Source organism: Homo sapiens, chromosome 2, assembly GCF_000001405.40.
Source record: "Homo sapiens chromosome 2, GRCh38.p14 Primary Assembly".
Lineage (NCBI taxonomy): Eukaryota > Metazoa > Chordata > Mammalia > Primates > Hominidae > Homo > Homo sapiens.
The window spans coordinates 199,855,950-199,875,879 of NC_000002.12; the positions used below are offsets into that span (position 1 = coordinate 199,855,950).

At 37.3% G+C, this 19,930-nt stretch overlaps 1 annotated feature.

Moving 5' to 3' along the window:
- Positions 13,625–14,350: an enhancer, noted in NCBI's record as "OCT4-NANOG-H3K27ac hESC enhancer chr2:200734297-200735022 (GRCh37/hg19 assembly coordinates)". NCBI's record gives its function as "activates a minimal SCP1, AML or CMV promoter by ChIP-STARR-seq in primed H9 embryonic stem cells {active_cell/tissue: H9 hESC(primed)}" and the evidence as "EXISTENCE:reporter gene assay evidence [ECO:0000049][PMID:30033119]".

Sequence of the window (19,930 nt, forward strand, 5' to 3'; positions counted from 1 at the left end):
CCTTCACAGGGCTGTTGTTGTTTAATGTCCCTATGTATATGCAAATGAATGGCAACTCTTACGGACACCAAGAGGGGAAGGTCCTACATGCACAGAAATCAGAGACCCAAAACAAAAGCCTGCATGTCGTGTTTGCCACATCCTAATTCAGGTGGGTGTTCAGAGGCACCCCTTGTTTTTGAAAAGGAGCTCCTTGTGGAGAGAACCAGTTCTCCTGCATTTGGGTAGATCTCCAAGCCCTGTCTCTGCAGGACACTCAAACTGAGGGTTTCATGCTAGTTTGTTTGGTTTTTACTATATAGCTCAGCGTTGGAAGGAATTTAACTTTTATGAATGTATCTTTTCATTACATTTAAATAGAAAATTTTTGATTTCTTAGGAAGAAGGGGAAAAAATTAATTTGTTGGTGCTTTTTCTTTTTTTTAAATTTTATTTTGGTGCCTTTTTTTTTTAACATGGTTTTTTGTGTTTATTTTTGTTTTGAGACAGACTCTCACTCTTGCCCAGGATGGAATGCAGTGGTTGATCATGGGTCACTGCAGCCTCTACTTCCCAGGCTCAGGTGATTCTCCCACCTAGGCCTCCTGAGTAGCTGAGGCTACAGGCACGTGCCACCACACCTGGCTAATAGCTGGGGCTACAGACATGTGCTCCCACACCTTGCTAATTTTTGTATTTTTTGTAGACACGGGGTTTGCTATGATGCCCAGGCTGGTCTTGAACTCCAGAACTCAAGCAGTCTGCCTGCCTCAGCCTCCCAAAGTGCTGTGATTACAGGAATGAGCCACCGTGCCTAGCCTACAAGTTTTCTTTATCCTATCCTGTGTCTCTCAGTTATTATTCAACTCTTTTAGCTTAAAGGTCTATGCTCATGTCAAAGATTTGAAAACAAAAGTTCCCTGCCACTACAGGGCAGAAGGGACCTTAGAGATCATCTGGCATCTCCTCATAACCCTTTGTTCAAATTCTGCCTCCACCTGGTACAGTGGCTTACATCTGTAACCTCAGAGCTTTGGAGAGGCTGAGGCAGGAGGATGGCTTCAGGCCAGGAGGTCAAGGTTGCAGTGAGCTGTGATCACGCTACTGCACTCCAGCCTGGGAGAGCGAGACCCTGTCTCAAAAAAAATTACACCTCACCTGAAATAAGACAATAGAGACGAAAGCAGAGTGGCTGATGGAAGCAGGGGGTTGGGGTGGAGAGTTGGGTGTCCCACTGTCCTGCACTTTTCGCCCCCCACCCACCCTGTATCTACTTCTTCCACAGCCTGTGCCTAACCCTAAGGTCCCTTCAAAACCACGAACTAGTTCAAACACTTTTCTTGGGCTTGAACCCCTTTTTTATAACATCATACAATGTTCTTATCTTTTGAAAATTAGCCCTCTCTCGAAAAGAGATCTATGATGTGGTCTCAAAATGCGAGTGCTGCTGGGCACGGTGACTCACACCTGTAACCCCAGCACTTCGGGAGGCCAAGGCGGGCAAATTGCTTGAGCTCAGGAGTTCAAGACCAGCCTGGGCAACATACGGAGACCCTCATCTCTACCAAAAAAAAAAAAAATCCAAAAATTAGCCAGGCATGGTCATGCTCACCTGTAGTCCCAGCTACTCGGGAGGTGAAGTGGGAGGATAGTTTGAGCCCAGGAGTGAGACCTTGTCTAAGAAAAGCAAGTGCTGTGGAAAATCCACATTGCTTTGTAAATTATTGGATGGGTCTTAATTTCTGCAGAGGAAATAAATATGGATGAATATTCAAATCTGAAATGTTCCATCAAAGACTTGAATTAATACTGGAGGAAATGTGGTATAGAAACCATAACGATCAAGATTTGGGGGAAGGAGGAAGGAGGATTCCAAAAGATGCAATCAAATAGGGCAGGTAATTATAGTTCAAACAACAGGCAAGAATGAAAGTGGCTCAGTTACTGTATCATTAACCAGTTCTGAAGACTGTAATACAGCCCTGCCCTTCCCAATACCTCTGTGACTTTAAACATCAGTATTTTCATTTCTCTATTTTGGGCAAAAGGATGGACGTGTTCCTTATAGGAGATTTCTGGGTTTTCTGTATTTTATTTAGATATGGGGGCCATTTTTGTTCTCTGCACCCTCACCTTTTTGGTTTTTTTTTTTTTAACTTATATCTCATGTTACTCCATTTGATCTATTCTGTGACCTTAAGTTCTGAATGACTACAGAACTGTGTGCAGCAGTGGCTTCAGCCACCCATATTTTAAAGCCAAATTTAAATTACAAATATAAAAACATATAAAAACATATATTTTGTAAATCAGAATCAAATTATATCAAATATTCATCTTATCGCTACTGATTTTACTCAAAAAAAATTCACGCAACTTTTCTTTTTTTTTTTTTTTTGAGACGGAGTCTCACTATGTCGCCCAGGCTGGAGTGCAGTGGTGCAATCTCGGCTCACTGCAAGCTCCACCTCCTGGGTTCACACCATTCTCCTGCCTCAGCCTCCTGAGTAGCTGGGACTACTGGCGCCCGCCACCACGCCCGGCTAATTTTTTTGTGTATTTTTGTAGTAGAGATGGGGTTTCACCGTGTTAGCCAGGATGGTCTCGATCTCCTGACCTCGTGATCCACCCACCTCGGCCTCCCAGAGTGCTGGCATTACAGGCGTGAGCCACCGCGCCCGGCCCACACAACTTTTCATATCAGGTTTTCTTTATTTATTAATGTAAGACACAAAGGACTCGCCACAGTTTTAGTGTTCTGTAAAACACTAATACTTTTGAAGTAATTTTTCAAACTATAAAACTTGCTAAACTAGTTGTATCTAATTAGACTGTCTAAAATGTATTGATAAAAATACAAGAGTAGAGAAGTTGGAGGGGAAAATATTTTTAAAATTTATTCTGGTGCAACCTCAATTAGCTATTGACGTAGTAATAAACCAACTGGAAGACTGTATTCTTTTTTTCTTTTCTTTTCTTTTTTGAGACAGAGTCTCATTCTGTCGCCAGGCTGGAGTGCAGTGGCATGATCTTGGCTCACTGCAACCTCCACCTCCCTTGTTCAAGTGCTTCTCCTGCCTCAGCCTCCCAAGTAGCTGGGACTACAGGTGCACACCACCACGCCCAGCAAATTTTTGTATTTTTAGTAGAGATGGGGTTTCACCATGTTGGCCAAGATGGTCTTGATCTCTTGACCTCGTGATCTGCCCACCTCGGCCTCCCAAAGTGCTGGGATTACAGGCGTGAGCCACAGTGCCTGGCCTGGAAGACTCTATTCTGCAGAATAACTTGATCTACTCAAGTATGTCCAGCCTTAAAACAAACACCAAACATTTTAATAGGAATATATAATATTTTGCTCATCATAATGAAAGTAAATGTCTGTGACAACACAGTTTTTATATATTAAAAAATGTTCTTTATAGATGTGATTTTATTGCAAGTTGTAATATAAATCTAATAGTATACAGTATGTAATATATCTAATGGATTGACTGTCTAATTATAAAACATGGTTTAAAAGCTAGAGGAAACCTGACATGTTTCTCACATTAAGGGTATGAAACCCAGGCCTAAAGAGGGTAATTATTACATGTCTAATATCACTCTTCTATTTTATTTTATTTATTTATTTATTTTTGAGACAGAGTCTCGACCTGTTGCCCAGGATGGAGTGCAGTGGAAGAATCTCTGCTCACTGCAACCTCGCCTCCCTGCAAACGCTGCCTCCAGGCTCAAGGGATTCTCATGCCTCAGCCTCCCAAGTAGCTGGGATTATGGGCTTGTGCCACCACACCCAGCTAATTTTTGTATTTTTAGTAGAGATGAATTTCGCCATGTTGGTCAGGCAGGTCTCAAATTCCTGGCCTCACGTGATCCACCCGCCTCAGCCTCCCAAAGTGTTGGGATTACAGGCATGAGCCACTGCCCCCAATCCTATTTTAAACTTTACATACCTGGAGGATGAAGTCCAGGGCCCTTCCCAGAGTGGCCCTGCTCAATTGTTTAAGTATTTTCTCCATTCCTTTTCCCAACCCTCCTCATTCTAATTTCATACCCTAAGAGTACCTGCTCACCAAACACTTTAAACTATTACATGTCTCTGGCTTTGCTTGTGCTTTGCTCAAAATTTCATTCCATGGCCTCACCCACCCATCCAATAAACAACCCCCATCTCTGTGAAGACTTCCTGAATTCTATCCTCTTTCCTAGGATTCATTAAATAATTTCTTTGTTCCTAGAACATCTTACACTTAGAAATGAAACACTAATCACATCATATTATTGTTTAGATTATTTCATAAGCATCTCTCTCTCCTGTCAGATTAAATAGAAACAGGATAGTCCTTATCTTTGTATCTTTTTTTTTTTTTTTTTTTAGATACAGGGTTGCTCCTGCTCAGGATGAAGTACAGTGGTGTGATTATGGCTCACTGCAGCCTCGCCCTTCTTGGCTCAAGCAATCCTCCCTCCTCAGCCACCTAAGTAGCTGGGACTACAGTCTTATGCCACCACACACAGCTAATTTTTAAAATTTTGTTAGAGACACAGTCTCACTGCGTTGCCCAGACTGATCTCAAACTCCTGGCCTCAAGAAATCCTCTTGCCTTGCCCTCCCAAGTTCTGCGGTTGCAGGCATGAGCCATTACAGCCCTTAGTCCAGTCTTGAATCATGGCAGGCACATTGTAAAAAATGTGTTGAAGGAATGAATTCATGGACTGATGGTGGATAAGTATATGCATCAGTGAATGAATGCGTGGACGAATTAATGAATAAACAAACAAACCAACAACAAGGAAGTGAATGAATAGGTCAATTTCTCAACCTTGGCACTGTTATATTTTGAGCAGTGTAATTCTTTGTTGTGGGAGGCTGTCCTGTGCACTAAAGGACGCTTAGCAGCATCCCTGGCCTCTACCCACTAGATGCCAGCAGCAGTTCCCTCCACCCCCACCCATGCAGCTGGAAAAACCAAAAATGTCTCCAGACATTGCCAAAGACCTGCCAAGGGCAAAATTGCCCTTGGTTGAGAACCACTGGAAGAGATGGAAAGAAGACTGGTTACAGCAATTCAGGTGGAGAGCAGGGATTGGTCTCCAATTCAGTTCAGTACTTTCTCTAATATGATTTAGCCTTGTTGAGATCCAAATCAATTCTTAATCTTCTCACAAAATAGTCTTAAAACCCGAGATTGAAAACAGAGTCAACAAAAATATAATTTATGAGACAGAATATTTAAAAACAACATTAAGAGTAAAGGTATACTTCCTTTATTTTAACGAATTTAGTTTACTATTGCCTTTTAAAAATACCATTTATCTGTAGCTGATATTGTTAAATTATAATTATTTGACCGTGCCTAATAAGTATTTGCTCCTGGAAGTCATATGGTTTGTCAAAATTTTCTAAATGCCACTTTATAGCACCATCTTGTGGATCTCAGAGGAATTCATGGATTTCAGTTTAAAATGTCTAGTCATTTCTTCAGAAAAGGATGAAAAGAATAAACTATAAAGAAAAAATAAGTTGTGTTTATTGAAATGTTCCACCAAACTCTGAATTAGAGACGTAGTGAAGTTTGACTTCAATTTTTATATTCGGCCAAGATTTACTGTTTGGTTTCAACTACAGCTTCCTCTTTGGCCTTTGGAAAGTCAAATAGCCACAAACCTACATCACTGTCATCATCATGTGTGTCTTTTATAGGTTACTACCATGTACAATCAGCAAAGAAGGGATGTGCCAACAAGAAAGGTCATCCTAATGTACTGTTTAATATTTGAATATTCATTTTGAATGTACAGATATAACTTAGAATTAAAATTTCCTTATGTGCTGTAAGTATTGGAAGAGCAGTGTTGCAAAATTAGGGAAGATTGTGAAAGCTAGTAAGCTTACACAGAAAACAAATAAGAATCTTTAAGCTGTTAAATTGAGAAATAGGGATATAGATTGACAATAATATGAATATTCATTCCTGTACCATGATGTCAAACTTTTAAAATCTGATTACTAAATTTTTTATTATATAAGCATAATTGCAGTTACAGTTCACATTTTGTATTATATCTAAGGAGTTCATTCTATGATGGTATCTAGCATCAGCCTCCAAAAAATGTTGATCCAATACTTAGCCATTGGGAATTTGGCCTAAAAATGTATTCGATATACACTTATTCTAAACCTAAAAGAAGAATTAAATAGAAAGAAAATGATGTAAAACATAATGGATTTGAAGTACCTTCCTCTTTTTTTAAATATGTGAGTTTTTTCTTTCTAACTTGAAAGTAAATATTTATCACGAAATACCAGGAGCATTAAAGGCTAAGGACCATACGAGTACCCTGCATGGGATTACTGTATGGAAAAAAGCATTTCTATTAATGGATGTGTCAATAATTACAGTCCAATTTTATAGGCAAAATGTTTAATTGATTAACATTCTAATTTGTTATTTTCCATCCTGATAGACAATCTCCTTCTCTTCTTCATGACATAAACTAAGCATAGCCATATACTAGAAGATTCTATTCCTTGATTATCTCCTCATCTCTCCACATGGAAACATCAAGAATGGCCAACTGAGTTCAGCCCAGCGTATGTGGGTATCTAAGCTCCATTTTTCTCTAAGATAAGGTACCATTATTTAGGGAAATGGTAAGAATACAAGGGTGTCTAAAAGATAACTTTTCTTGCAAGAACTTTCACATAATTGTTTTGACCCCAAAGTAACAATATTACGTTACAGGACAGTGGACTCCTTTGCAGGTCTTTGTGGTTGAAGATAGATCCCCAGCAGGTAGATCAAGTCAGCCAGCTCGAATAATCACAATAGTTGTAATGGCATTTAGCTCTATTTAACCCACTTACCTGTGTAAGAAGGCAATCCACATTATGAATAACATAGTTTTTGGCTTTGAGTAAGCATAGAGATGCCCCCGATTAGTCAATATTCCATAGTGGAAAAAACTTCAGACCAGGGATTAAGAAACCATATTTCTATTCCAGCCTGTCACCAAGTGCATAACATTGGACAAATGACTCAGCCCCTCTGCATCTCAGTTCCCGTATCTGTCAAATGAGGCGGCTGGACTGGGTGTTCTTTAATGTCCTTTCCAGCTTAACAGATTAAGATTCTATGAATTGTTCTGCTGGGTAGGAGCCTAGCCCAACTTTAATATTCTCTTTCTGCTAGTGGCCCTAGGGAATGATTTGAGTAGTGTCACCCTGCACATTTAAGGACTTAACAAAACCATCTCTAACTTTCCCTCCTAGTGATCAAAGGTAGAAGTACCCTTTAAGTTTTTAAACTTTTCTTTATACCATTTATTTTCAATATATACCACATCAGAAAGACTTCCATTTTATTTGTGAATATTTTCTTCAAATTTCAGAGAATATTCACCTAATCTTACTTTTCTAAAATCAGCTTCTAATTCTCTGAAACTTTTGTATCTTACATATTTTACAGACTGTAATCATACATCTTTTATCTTTTCCTGAAGAGAGCCTGCAGAACATTTACCCTGTTAAGGGTTCCACAATCAAAATAACTTTCGGTCTCACTTCATGGTATATGTCTTATTGGATATTCACAATGGCTGTTATAACTTCAACAATTCTGAAACATTACCTTTGTTTTCTGATTGTTTTTGTTTTGAGTTTGTTTTATTTTGTCTTGGTTAGTCAATTTATTTTTGGCAGGATTTTTGGGGGCTATCACTTCAGAAATTGGCTTTACCATTCTAAGCCTATTGTTTTAGCCTGTCCTGACACAAAGTTACTTCTCAGAAAATTTTATGCTTCTCTGAATATTTTTTCCCGCTCCTTTTAAAAAATGTATTTAATTATTTCCTTCTAGAAATGAATAAGAACCTCTGAACTTAACATTAGGATGGCCATTTAAAAGACAAATGAACTTTCAGTCCAATATCTGAGATACCTCAAAGATTCAGATGTCTCCAGTTTCCATTTCTGTATTTGATATATTTAATTCAAAGGTAAGCTCAAAATATATTGAGACTAACTCAGTGTGTTCCCTTGTGCTACCTCAGTCGAATATGATTTTGGTGATGAAAGTCCATGTTCAATAATCCCTGGAATCAAAAGTAGGTGTGAGAACCTTAAAAAAAAAAAAACTATGTATATATACGCAATGCAAAGAAAAGAGTTATGTGTTTACAAGGAGTGAGAAAATTAAAGTTTGGAACCTGCTGTGATGAGGAGTAAGAAGCAATGACATTTCCACTGAATGCGCTACCCTAACCTCTCATCTACTGAAATATTATACTAACTTTGTAAAACTGGATACCTAACATGTCTTATGTTGAATGTTAGCCAATAGTTGCAGCAAAGGTGATTAGTCAGTTAATCTCAAAGTTAGTTAGGATTTTAAGTTTAACCTATACATACACCATAATAACAGGATTGGGGCAACTAACATAATTTATTTGTTGAAATTAAAGTTATTATGAAGTTATAATATCAAATATTCTGACAAAAATAGTCAAAAATACTTTTGGTCACTAAATTTCATACCATTACTACATTTGTATTAATTATATGATATGGACCCTTATATTTCAGTATTTCATGGCATTTACTGATAACTTTGTTTCTCCTTAATATTTAGAGAAAGGATTTTATATTACTGTTTTTCTCTTAAAGTTATCTTATACGCGTTTTTGCTATTTTTATCTTATTTACAAATTAAGCACATTTAAGTTACTAATCTACTTTAAATTTTAAATGAGAAATGCTTTAAAAAATAGGAATTAGACATCTTGTGCCCAAAATATTGAAAACATAATCCCTTTAAAAATATCCACCATCAAAAAAAAAAAAAATCCACCATCTCTCTCCTCCCTTTCCTTTTAATTCAAACTAGTTAGTTTCCTTTGAAGATATCTTTTGCCAATGTTTCTGAAAACTATTTTTGTTTGAAAATTTCAGGGTGGAATGGTTTTTTAGATGAAGGAAACTGTATTTGCAATTACAGCTTATAAAGTAGAGAAAACCATAAACTCCCTTTGGCATCAGTTTGACTCAAGGTCAAAATTAGATTTCCTCCTTCTATAGCATTTGAATCATAAACCCCTCTTTTTGTAAGTAGATAGATTTGGGGTGGAGGGTCAGCTGGGTTCTACAAAATATACTGTATGAATATGAGTCAAAGTATAATTTTAAGTAAACAGCTCACTTAATTTTGACCTTTTCTATTAAAGGGTTTTTTTGGCCTTAGTATTGATGTCATTTTATATTTTCTTAATTCAATAACAACTTAGCTTTTAAAATTTCAGATTTACACTATTAAAGGTTAGAACCGTGTATTTTCATATCAGAATGTCTGGTGGTAGTGATGGTAATTATTACAGAAAAAAGCATTGAGGCCTGCTATGCTACAGAACTATTAGGTGTTGTGAGAAAATGAAAAAGGTACTTACAGAGAAATAATTCCTGGCCTTTAGGACCCTATAATATGTAGCTGTCTTTTTTAAGCTTTCATGCCAAACATTCACAAATCAATCTTGAAGTTATCATTTGAGTGGGAAAGTGTGGGGATTGGACTAGAAAAATCACCTCCTTTACTCCGTTTGATCAACTCTTATTTGAATGCATCACCACACTAATGATTGTGCCTAAAGATAATTGACAATTCAAAGTCAAACTCATTTTACACTAATTATCTAATATTCATTTAACTAGTATTTATTTATGAGGTCACAAATCACCAAGCTAAAGGAGTCCCAAAAATGTTTCTAAAGAGGCAGGAAAATACACAATCCCATGTTAAGGAACAAGACTTTAAGAGAACTAGAAAATCATTAAAAGGTTGTTAAGCCAGGATCCAAGATTAATTTTAGATGATAAATAAATCTGACTTGTGATCAAACAATGAGAATCACATAAAAACATTATGAAATGATAAATTCTACCACCTGACAAGAGGACGGCACTTAAGTCTTTTTGGCAGATGGTTGGCGGCAGGTGAGTTACTGAGATACATGGTGGTTATTTGGTCTCTTTTTCAATGACTTTCCTTGACTTACTCAGCCCTTGTCCAAGTGAGTACAAAAATGTGCTGAGAATCATGCAGACTTTGCGTAAAGATAAGTAATATGCATAGCTCCTTAGTTTCCCCCAAGATCATTAAAAACCTGATATTAATGATGTATAGTGACGTCAGTTTCTTTTGTTGTTGTTGTTGTTGTTTGTGGGTTTTTTGTTTGTTTGTTTGTTTGTTTGTTTGTTTTTTGGTTTTTGGAGGTTTTCTTTGTGACAGGATCTCACGCTGTCTCCCAGGCTGGAGTACAGTGGTGATCACAGCTCACTGCAGCCTCAACCTCCTGGGCTCAGGTCCTCCCACCTCAGCCTCCTGAGTAGCTGGGACTACAGACACCTGCCACCATGCCTGGCTAATTGTGTGTGTGTGTGTGTGTGTGTGTGTGTGTGTGTGTGTGTATTTTTTGTAGAAACAGGTTTTTGCCATGTTGCCCAGCCTGGTCTTGAACTCCTAGACTCCAAGCAGTGCACCCACCTTGGCCTCCCAAAGTGCTAGGATTTCAGGCATGAGGCACGGCACCCAGCCTAGTACCAATTTCTATCATGATTTGTTGCATCTAGAGCTGAAAGCAATTTTTTTTGTCATGAAGAAAAACTTTTTTTAAATTTTCTTAATCTATGTAAGAAGTGCTTTCTAAGATTAGACTATATTTACACATTAAGCAGTGTAAATGTTTATTATGTCAGGCTCTTAAGTGGAGATGTGTATGTTTGTTGACTTTTTATTATAGAAAATTTCAGACACCAAAGTGAATCCCACATGCCTAATCTTAACAATTATTAACACAAAGCCAATTTTATTGCATCTCTAATTCATCTAATTTTCCTGTCCTCTCTACCCTGCTCTTCAAAGTATAATTTTAAAGGAAGCCCAGCTATCATATTTCACGCACATTCAAGGGGAGGTTTCTGAAGTGAATAGAGCACTGTTCTTTCCATGACTTATGTCCATTTTGGAAAAGTTCAGATTACCCAAGTGGCCACTGTCAGAGAGCCATTTCCCCAGCCATGACTTTGTTCTCTCAAGTATTATACCTTCCATGTGTAGACTTCCTACGTCACTCACTGATCCGTGACAACACTTTCAGTCTATCTATGAGTATTAATGTTAACTTGGTAACATGATTTAAAAGGTATCCAAAGGAATCATTATTCTTTATTATTCATCCATTCCTTCATTTCTTGCTCTAGATGATAGAGGTACAGTGTTGAGCAAATTAGACAAAGGGCCTGCCTTCCAATGTGTGTGCTAGAGTTGAGATCAAGAGGCAGGGGCTTACTACTTGGAAGACTCCCCCTTTGTATGTGGGCAGTGTTGTTCCTGATTCTACCTTAGTTTCCCTCTGGGAAACCCCAACAAAAAGCCCATAGTAGTGAACTAAATAAATATGTAAAACAATGATAAACTGGTTTTGTGATTGTTATTGTCATTTTTAAAGCACATGCTTCTTGTATAGCAATTAACAAGTTTTGTGTGTGTCTATTACCACCTCCCCTCTACTCCCAAATCTCACCCCCACCCTGCAGATTGCTCCACGCAGGTCTGTGAAAATGTGAATGACCACATTTTCATCTCAAAATAAAGTACAATATTTTTCAAAGCTCTATGTCCAAAATCCAAGGTTCTGAAAATGAAATTTCTAAATAATTAGATGATGTGATGATGGCAATCAGAAAATATGTATAAATCTCTACACAAAACTACTATATAATTTAGTACCTATCATATATTATTATCTTAAAATGAATAATGATTATGCAAACTTAGCTCCTTTATAGATCAATCTCTAATTTAAAAACTGATGTTTAGAGCTATAAAAGATGTCATTGTTTTTTGCAACATCAAATGATGTCTAATTCAAATTCCTTTGAAAGCCATCTGTAGAACTTTGAGCTTCTGCTGTTTCAGAATTGACTTTCTTTCTTGACAGGTATTTGATAAAAATAAACTCAATATTTAAGTCACACAGTACATACCTGTAATGAAAAAACATAAAACAATGAGCAGACACATAAAAGCTTTCTTTTTTAATTTAAATTTAACTAGTTTTAACTGTTTATTTTTATTTCCCCAATCAAAAGTATTGTAATTTATATGCTCTGATACAAAGCACTTTCTGTCATTTCTCCTTTGGGAACTGAGAATATAAATGGTTTCTAATTTTGAAGATTCAAAAGATTGAATAGCTGGATGAATTATAACTTAAAATTCCCATTAATTTATTTTCAAATGAGGAAAACCCACAACTTTGAGAAACTGATTATTATGGGGAAAAAAGGCCTTGATTTGTAATTGCACCCAAATATGAAAGCCTACATTTTGTAAGCATAAAGATTACATTCTCTTCAAAAGATTTGCAAATTCTCATAGGCACATAACTTAGAGAATGAGAGAATTGTAATTTGAAAAATTACAGATTTCATTGTTTTTGATGTGTGAAACCTATAAACAAATATCAGGAGATTGTATTGCAAAACTGAAAATCCCTTGTTTAGTTTTGTAAAGGACAGTGCCCTATGTGGCTTACAATCCTGACTTAAAAGAAAAATGCAGAGTAATGCAAAAGACACTCTAATCACTGCATCTAATTACAAAGAAGAATAGCTTAGTAAAAATTTTAAGTATCTTTGGGCAGGCGTGTGGTCTCGTGGTCAGAGCATGGGATTTCAAGTCAGTAGTCTAAATTTCTATTTTAAACACCACTTCTAAATTTCTCCATGACTTTGGGCATGACATTAACTTTATTTTTAAATGAGAACTTGAGATCTGTTCTCGATAATTACAAAGCAGTTTTGAAATCCTTTAATAGAGGTATAAATCTAATACTGTAAAAAAATTAACAGAGGGACAGGTGCTTTCTTGACTTCTTGATGAAAAAAATGAAAAACTTACTTGACAAAAAAAGAAAAGGTAAGGTAAATTAAAACGAATTCAGAAGGTGTTTCTTTACCATTTGCCCTACATAGTAACATTGCTATACCCATGTGTTATTTCAAAGTCAGTTCAGGACATTATTTAACAATCAACTCACTGATACAGTGACTAATTTTGATAGCTTTCCTCTAAATTGCTCCTTTGCTTTTAAAGAAATGGTAGTCCTCAGTGGAGCCAACGCTGCTCTTTTCATACTAATTGTTATTGTCACTCTAAGGAACTTGTACTCCACAGTGATGTGCCTGCTTTGTTTTTGTTTATGTGTAGTGTTTTTTAAGTGTTCCTCCAAGTGCAATAAGTACAGACAAATTACCATGTAAGTTTTCTTTAAACTATTGCTAGATTTCTAGGGATAAATGTAGGTGATTCAAATTCTAACATACCTCTATAAATCAATTACCACAGTAATTGTCATTGGGAATAATTAACATTTGAATTCAAGGAATGTGACCTGACTTATAGAACTCTTCCCTCCCTCCCTCCCTCCCTTCCTTCCTTCCTTCCTTTTTCTCTTTCTTCTTTCTTTCAACAGTTTCCGTACTCTACAGATTTTTTTGGATTATGATAATCTTGTATGATTTTTAGTACTAGTTTAGCTACTGAATATGCCTTATTGTTGGAAGAATCCACCCAGTCAAATTTGCTAAAATATACAGTATACAAACTAGAAACAAAGAGGAAATTCAGGAATAGCATGGTATATTAATACAGCAGGCAACGGGGTTATACAAAATTTGACCAAAATCTCAGCCTCCACACAGACCCTCATCATGCCTGATCTATTGCACACTTTCCAGGCAAAAGGTGATCTTTAAAAACAGCAATTCATCAAGATAATGCTGCATGAAAGGAAATGGAGACCATTATAAGGCAAAGTAAAACAGCTTAAGGACAGATCTTGTTGTATGTTTTCCTGATTAGAAACACAGTGTATGAATGCCTTGCTAAAGTACTTAAAGCACTATTTAATGGTCCAAAGCTCAGGTGAGAAATCACTGAGCTAAAGGATCGAATTCAGACAGAGTCAGTTTGGTCTTCTGGCATTATTCAGGAGGCAAATTATAAACTGAACTTTCACTAAATTTGTCCTCTAGGGAAGATTTTTAAATGGAATCTTTGTGAGGTGGTTTGCAGTAGCCCTGATAACTTCAGAGACTGCCTCTAGATTCCCTGGTGAATTTATGTGAAATAAAAAAGGCAGGAAATCCAACTTATTAAGTTCATAAAATTAAAGTTATACCTATATATTTTTAGAAACCTGAACATTTAGGAAAATGTAGATAGTATTTTTTTCTGTATGCAGCAGTTTAATCCTGCATTTATTTCACTAAATTACACCACTCAATTTCCTGTTTAGGTCTGTTCAATGCATCTTACATTAAAACGTAGTGACAAGAAAGAGAGGAACACTTTAAAACTGGTTATCTAGTTATGAAAAACTAAATTTTCCTTTTTTTTTTTTTTTTAACAAAACCCTGTGTGATTCTTCATTGTCTTTTTGGGTTCCCAAATCTAACCCTTCTTTACTTCCCCCACCCCCTAAACGTATAATGGAAATAGATTAAAGACAACAGCAGCTCCTACACCTGTGATGCTGTCCCTCTGAGAAGGAAAAGAAGGAAAAAACATTTAAAACCTGGGAATACATTCTGTCACAACAGAACTAGGTACAGTAGTTCAACTTCTAGAATAGGGAATGTAGGATTTTTCACCTTCATTCTTCAGAAGACATTTTTTTCTAAGTATCTATTATAATAACAAACTGCAATTCCATGACTACTTTCGTTGATGCTTGAACTTCCTCCAAGAGTTCATATTTCCTCACATTAGCCCCAGTTTTATTCAGTATTACAATGTAATTTTTGCATTCCAATCCTAAATCTGCTGGAGTACTTTATACAGACATGGGACATTTAACTTGCTGCAATAGGGTCAGAGACTTGGTTGGAAATGTTGGAAAAAAAAGTCCCTCTGTTGTCTCAATGTATTATTCATCCTGTAAAGCTCTAATTTTATTTTTGACATAGCAAAGCTGTCTCTAAAATGTTACCATGGAACCAGAAATAATTATTTTAGTAATGGACCTATGTCCTTTTCATCTTCTTTAGTTTATTTTAAATTTAAAAAATTTTTGCTTTTTTTAAATTTTAAATTAGAACAGGCAAGGCACAGTGGCTCATGCCCGTAATCCTGGCACTTTGGGAGGCCGAGGCAGGCAGATCACTTGAGCCCAGGAGTTCGAGACCAGCCTGGGCAACATGGTAAAAACCCCTTCTCTACAAAAAGTAGCTGGGCGTGGTGGCGCCTCAGCTACTCAGAAGGCTAAGGCAGGAGGAGATTTTGAGCCCGGGAGGTGAAGGTTTCAGTGAGCCATGATCGTGCCACCGCACTCCAGCCTTGGTGACAAAGTGAGTCTCTGTCTCTAAAATATATTTATATTTTATTTATTTATATGTGGATTTTCTACGGAGAGGTGAGTCAGTATCCTTAACCCCTACACTGTTCAAGGGTCAACTGTATTTCTCCGAAACTATTGCTCCGAGGTAGTCTCATTTATATACGTTAATTATAATTTTTAACCTAAGTAATTTCTGTTTTCTTTTTCTTTTTTTTTCTTTTTTTTTTTTTTTTTTGAGACGGACTTTCGCTCTTGTTACCCAGGCTGGAGTACAATGGCGCAATCTCGGCTCACTGCAAGCTCCGCCACCCTGGTTCACGCCATTCTCCTGCCTCAGCCTCCCGAGTAGCTGGGACTACAGGCGCCCGACACCACGCCCGGCTAATTTTTTGTATTTTTAGTAGAGACGGGGTTTCATCGTGTTAGTCAGGCTGGTCTCGATCTCCTGACCTCGTGAACCGCCCGCCTCGGCCTCCCAAAGTGCTGGGATTACAGGCGTGAGCCACCACGTCCGGCCGTAATTTCTATTTTCATAGAAAATTGGGGAGTGGGAGGGAAAAGAGGTGGACAACCATGTTACACACCAGCATCCTTGCAGTCCTGCAGAGTTCATGAAAACGTTTAACACAACTTTCTACAGCCATACTTTATACCAATTTTCAAGGTGGCAAAAATGAACACAGTAAGAAACCCCAAGTTTGTCCTTCTGTGGCATATAAAAATAAGAAGCAAAAGCACAATCTTAAAAGTATGCTTAGTAGGTGCTGTTCATTTCTCTATCAGCCAGGAAGGATACTGGTTTTGAGGCTGATGTACTTATCAAGGACAATAACTGCCATGGCTTGTCAGTGCTTTGATGAAACCTCAGATGCATGACCTTCTGGTCAAACATCTGCAATTTCATATTGTTGGAGCATTGTGTTCCTGGAGGTTGTGGCTCTCTATAAGTTTGCTGTGGTTGAACCAAGAAGGGAAACGTGCAGATTTCTACAAAAATTATGATTCCATGAAAGATTTTAAGGAGATAAGGAAGGCTGGTATCTTTTATAATACAAAATAATTCTGGAATATGAAGAATTTCTTTGAGTTAAATTGCCTAGAAGTTTGTCACTGACTTGTGTTCCTGAACTATGAAACATGACTATGTGGGCTAAGAAATAATTTCTCTCTTGACAAATAAACAATTAACAAGTAAAAAAATAGATAATAATCAATGTTATAGTAACTTACAAATTATCTAGGCATTCAATGAATAGCCATTAATTAATTCAATTTAACATCAGCCTAAGGTTTTAAGTTATCAATAGATCTTGGAAATTATCTCCAAGTTGACATACTATGAAACATAATCACTGCTAAAATAAAATTTTGTTAGAGCAATGAGTCAATTTGGTTGAATACATATATAATTTTTATAACTTTAAATATTAAGTAGAAGTAGTGCTAGCTTATTTGATCAGTAAACCTGTACAAGTTTAGAAAGAATACACCCAAGTAGAATAAAAATTGATGCTTATATTGTACTTAACACTGATAAATCATAGAAGATAGCTGTTTTGTTATTAAACCAAAAATATTAAACTAGCCTTGCTTAGCAAAGACTTACCTAAATTATGTGACTTTGACTTGGTTTTTTTTTTTTTTGAGACGGAGTTTCACTCGTTAGCCAGGCTGACTGGAGTGCAGTGGCACAATCTCTGCTCACCGCAACCTCCGCCTCCTGGGTTCAAGGAATTCTCCTGCCTCAGCCTCCTGAGTAGCTGAGATTACAGGCATGCACCACCACGCCCGGCTAATTTTTATATTTCTAGAAGAGATGGGGTTTCACCATGTTGGCCAGGATGGTCTCCATCTCTTGACCTCATGATCCACCTGCCTCGGCCTCCCAAAGTGCTGGGATTATGGGTGTGAGCCACTGCGCCCAGCCAAATTTGACTTCTTAAAACATTTCCTAGTTAGTTGCAGTAAAAAATACTTCTTAAATCTAGCATACTAAAAGTATTAGAAGTTCAATTTCTTTATTTTCTGGAATTTTAGGAATATTCAATTTATATAATAACTTAGTTATTTCTATAAGCCAGTCAGAATAGAGCTCCTTACAGAGATTTTATTTTTTTAAAGCGATGAGGTCTTGCAAAAATTATGACAGAGATATCTAACATAGCTGACTCCATCTTGCTTCTAAGCTCACAAGCTAACTGTCCTTGCTCATTTCGGGGCATAGGCCAAGCTAACTATGGGAAGAATTCAGTTTACAGTTTAACTTTAAAACAAAGGTGATAACAGTCTTTTACCAAGACTAACCCTTTTGGCTGGGTGTAGTGTCTCACACCTGTAATCCCGGCACTTTGGGAGGCTGAGGTGGAAGGTTCCCTTGAGCCCGGGAATTTGAGACCAGCCTGGGCAACATGGCAAGACCCTGTCTCTACCTGAAAAAAAAATAATAATAACAATAATAATAAAAAAGAAAGTAACCCCCTCCTTGCTTGGGGACCAAAACTGCCTTTGTAAAACTAAAATTAGCCACAAGGTTAGAATTATGGTAGAGGCCTGAATTCTATTAGGATGTAGGCATAGTTAAACTCCAACCAGGCATTGTTTCCTCTGCTAAGATGTATGTAGAGTTTTACTCTAACAAGGCATTGTTTCATAATTTGTCTTTTCATAACTGCTTACTGCTCAGGAGTCATGTAGCTGGAGGTCACAAGATTTGTAACTTCCCCAATTATTCCTATAGATAACATCACTAAGGTAAAATCTAAGATTGGTGTTTGAGGCATTTTTCAGAACTTACACTGTGATGGACCAACTGGTGCCACCCAGATCGATAACCCATACCAATAAACTGACTCAACTGGTTTTGTGACTCCCACCCAGGAACCGACTCAGCACAAGAAGATAGTTTTTACACTCCTGCAATTTCATCCCCAACACAACAATTCAGCGTTCCCCATTCCCTAGCCCCCTGCCTGCCAAACCATCCTTGAAAAACCATAGCCCACAAATTCTCAGAGGCAAACTTGAAAATTATCTCCCATTCTTTTGTTTGGCTGCCTTGTGGTAATTAAACTCTTTCTCTGCTGCAACACCACTGTCTCAGTGTATTGGCTTTACTTGTGCACTGGGCAAGAAGAACCCATTAGGCTTTAACAGATTCTGTTTTTCTCATTTAAATTTTGCTCTAGGGTGACTTTAGTTTTGGTTTCTATATGGCCAATAAATTATTTCCCATTGGGAATTTGGTTTTATTGTCAGATTATTTGGTGATCTCTGTAAACAAATAAAAAGTTTATGGAGATCTTGTCTCTGTTGGGTAGGAGGCGACAGAATATCTGGTTTGTTAGTCTTTTCTGTTTGTTTGTCTACTTTTATTTCAAATCAATAATTTGTACCCACTGGGAAGAGAACAGCACTTTGACTTGAACTGGTACGTTTTAAGTCAGTTTTCAATTTTAAAATTTCAGCCATGGTCACTAGCAGACAGGACAGATATACAAACCTATGAATAACAGGCTACAGAGAGCTGCAAAACAACTCAATGAAAATGAACAAGGCTAGAATCCAATAGTAACCCAGAAGGGCATGCTAAGAGACAGTGCAGTTTTCCACTGAAACACAGAATGTTTTCTATAATCCTGTAGGGGCAAAGGGAACACTTCTTTGACCTTAAAAGATTTGCTTAAAAATAAACTGACAAAAGGCAGATTGATTGGAGAAAAGGCCTACAAATTTATTAATGTTCACATGGAGGAGAACCACAGAGTAATTACCCCATATTCCAGTGGAACCCAAATACCTATATAGCCTTATTTTAAAGGAGAGAGGGAAGATGGGGAATATAGGAAATTCTGTTGAGGGATGATAACTGATTATTAGGGAGAATGAATGATCTAGGAGTAGAGATTGAGAGACAGGTATTATGAAAAAATGTGTTCAGGTGTGGTTACATTCTTGGTCGTCTTTTTGGCAATAAAGAAATAATGGGGAGAGAAAGAAAAAACAATTGTTCTCCTTAGTGAGTCCCTCTGGTCTTCATGTAGATAGGAGAAAAGTCTTTTCCAGAGTCTGTTGATTTCTGAGGCACTTTAATTCAAAATACTCATCATACCAGGGTGCCATATTTTAGGATAAAGTTCCCTGTGCTCCTGCAATATTTATATTTTTTATTGCAATGAATGTACTGAGAAAAAGAAAAATAGTTCAGAGCAGTCTAAGCTATGTCAGGAATGCACAATTTATCAGGCCCAGAGAGAAGAATGGGAGTTCGGTCATTCCAATCCCCATTCCCAAACCCATGCCTGAGGGCATTTGTTTCAAGTCATTTTGTTCCTGACTAGCTGCTTCACCCATTGTCTTTATGTTTCTGCTCCTGGAATTTGTAATACCAGGATAATGTATAGCCAATCAATAGCTCATGTTACTTTAATGTAAATTCTTGTTAAACAACTTAGAAGGTTTTTTTTTCCTTAAAAACCCCTTGTGGGGTTGGGCATGGTGGCTCACACCTGTAATCCCAGCACACTGGGAGGCCGAGGCAGGCAGATCACCTGAGGTC